Source organism: Homo sapiens, chromosome 3 (assembly GCF_000001405.40).
Source record: "Homo sapiens chromosome 3, GRCh38.p14 Primary Assembly".
Classification (NCBI taxonomy): domain Eukaryota; kingdom Metazoa; phylum Chordata; class Mammalia; order Primates; family Hominidae; genus Homo; species Homo sapiens.
This window is the reverse complement of record NC_000003.12, coordinates 197,629,312-197,631,525: the sequence shown is the minus strand read 5'-3', so window position 1 is coordinate 197,631,525 and position 2,214 is coordinate 197,629,312.

Genomic DNA, 2,214 nt, shown 5'->3' with positions numbered 1-2,214 from the left:
TCTCTTTGTCTTGTGTCTTTATTTCTACAACACTCTCTCGTCGCCGCACACAGGGAGAGACCCACCGACCCTGTGGGGCTGGTCCCTGCAGGGTTATAGGCATGAGCCACCATGCCCGGCCTGCTTTTTTCTTTTTCAAAAGGCCTGTTTCTAGATTATACCTATTCATTCCGGTGACTATATGTGGGGCAAAGATGGGTTTGAATCCACCAGGATAAACGTGCCGGATCTCCTCTCTGATGGAAGAAGAGACAGGGATAGAAGGGTACAGAGAATCAGAGCCAAGAGGAGGCTGAGTCAGGCGGGGGTTGCAGGCTGCTGTGAGGACTTGGCTGCTTCTCTGAGACTGGTGGGATTAGCAGGGGATTTAAACAGAGGAACCGTGGGATCTCCCTTATGCATTTCTGCCATGGTTGGCTCAGCTGAACGCACCTCTTGAGCAAGACTTGGTCTTGGACACCCAGAGGCCCTTGGTTGAGGGTTTACCTCCTGGCGTGGCCACTGACACATCCACGTTTGGCTCCCACACGGCTGGGCGGCCCCGAGACCTGCTGTGCCTGCCCTTCTCATTGGTGGCATTTCTCAAGTTTGTCCCCTCTCAAGTCTGCCCCATCCGGAAAACCAAACACCTCTCTCTCCTACATGGAAACCCCCGTCAGCACCTCCTCCTGACTCACAGGGCATCCCGTCAACATCACAGTCCCAACCTTCCCACACGGACAAGCTCATGGGACCCCCTGATGGACCAGGACAGCGCCAGCACTAAGACGTGCCCTGGAACTCACAGGAAGAGCGGACCAAGAAGCCGGGAACAGCACGGGGCACTGGGAGCTGCAAACGCCCACGATACTGTGAGAGACGGAGAAAGGTATGACAGGTGGAGCGGACCAAGAAGACGGGAACAGCACGGCGCACTGGGAGCTGCAAATGCCCCCGATACCGTAAGAGATGGAGAAAGGTATGGCCATGGCGGTCACAAAATGTTACTCAACATTTATTAAAGGCCTAAATGGAGAACCTAACGCTATCAAACCCTTAGCTAAAAACACAGGGGAAAATTCGTATGGCCTGGGGTTAGGCGAAAAGTTCTTAGACATGACACCAAAAGCATGATTCATAAGATTGACAAATTAAATGTAGTCATAAATTTAAAATTATAATTCTATAAAGCAATATAAAAATCCAAAGAGAATGAAACACAAACTATGGTCTAGAAATAAACATTTGTGAATCACACATCTCACAACCTACTGGCACGCAGGATATATGAAGAACCATCAAAACTTAACCATAAGAAAGTAAAAACCCCAGTATTAAAGAGAGGGCCAATATTGGAACGGAGGCCTCATCAAAGAAGGTATAAGGAGGGCATATTGCCCGAGAAAGAGGCTCAACATCATAGAGATGCTGGAGAAATGCCAGTCAGCAGTACCTCTGCAAATCCATTAAAATGGCTAAAAACAGACAAAACCCATGGGCCAACCCAGGTTCTAGTGATGATGCAGAGGAACTGGGACCCTCATAAGCTGCAGTGGGAATGGGAGGGGTCCCGCCATGCTGGAAAGTGGTCCGGGAGTTTCTTACGAAGTTAAGCACATCCTTACCATGTCATCCAGCAACCCCACTGCTGAAATGTCCCCCAAGGGAAAACTTAAACGTGCACACACAAACCTGCACACAAGTGTTTAGGCCTCATTCCTCATTGCCAATAACTGGAAGAAAACAAAATGTCCGTCGGCAGGAGCAGGAGAAGGCGTGAACCAACGCGGATGCTTCCACATAGGGGACACCAACCAGCGGTGGAAAGATGCACCCAAATGCGCCAGGTCTCCCAGGCTACATGCCCGGTGAAGGAAGCTAGTTTCGGTGGCCACAGGCCGAAGGATGCCAACACATGACATCTTGGAGAAGACAGTGTACCGTGTCGGGGAGCAGGGCAGTGGTTTCGAGGGGCTACGGGTGGAGGGGCGAATGGAGGAGCTCTCTGGGGCGATGGCGTGAGCACCTGCACCTCACTGTGGGCTGCTGCGGCTGAGGGGCTGTACGGCAAACACTGGCTTCAGTACATGCAGACTGAAGGAGGAAGGCTCCCACAACTCAGAGACAGAGGGTGTCGCCTCCATGAAACAAAAACATATTTAAAAAAAAAACCTCTTAAAATTAAGAAAAAAACCACAAAAAGTATTTCATAAGCGCATTGACTTTGAGTTGACA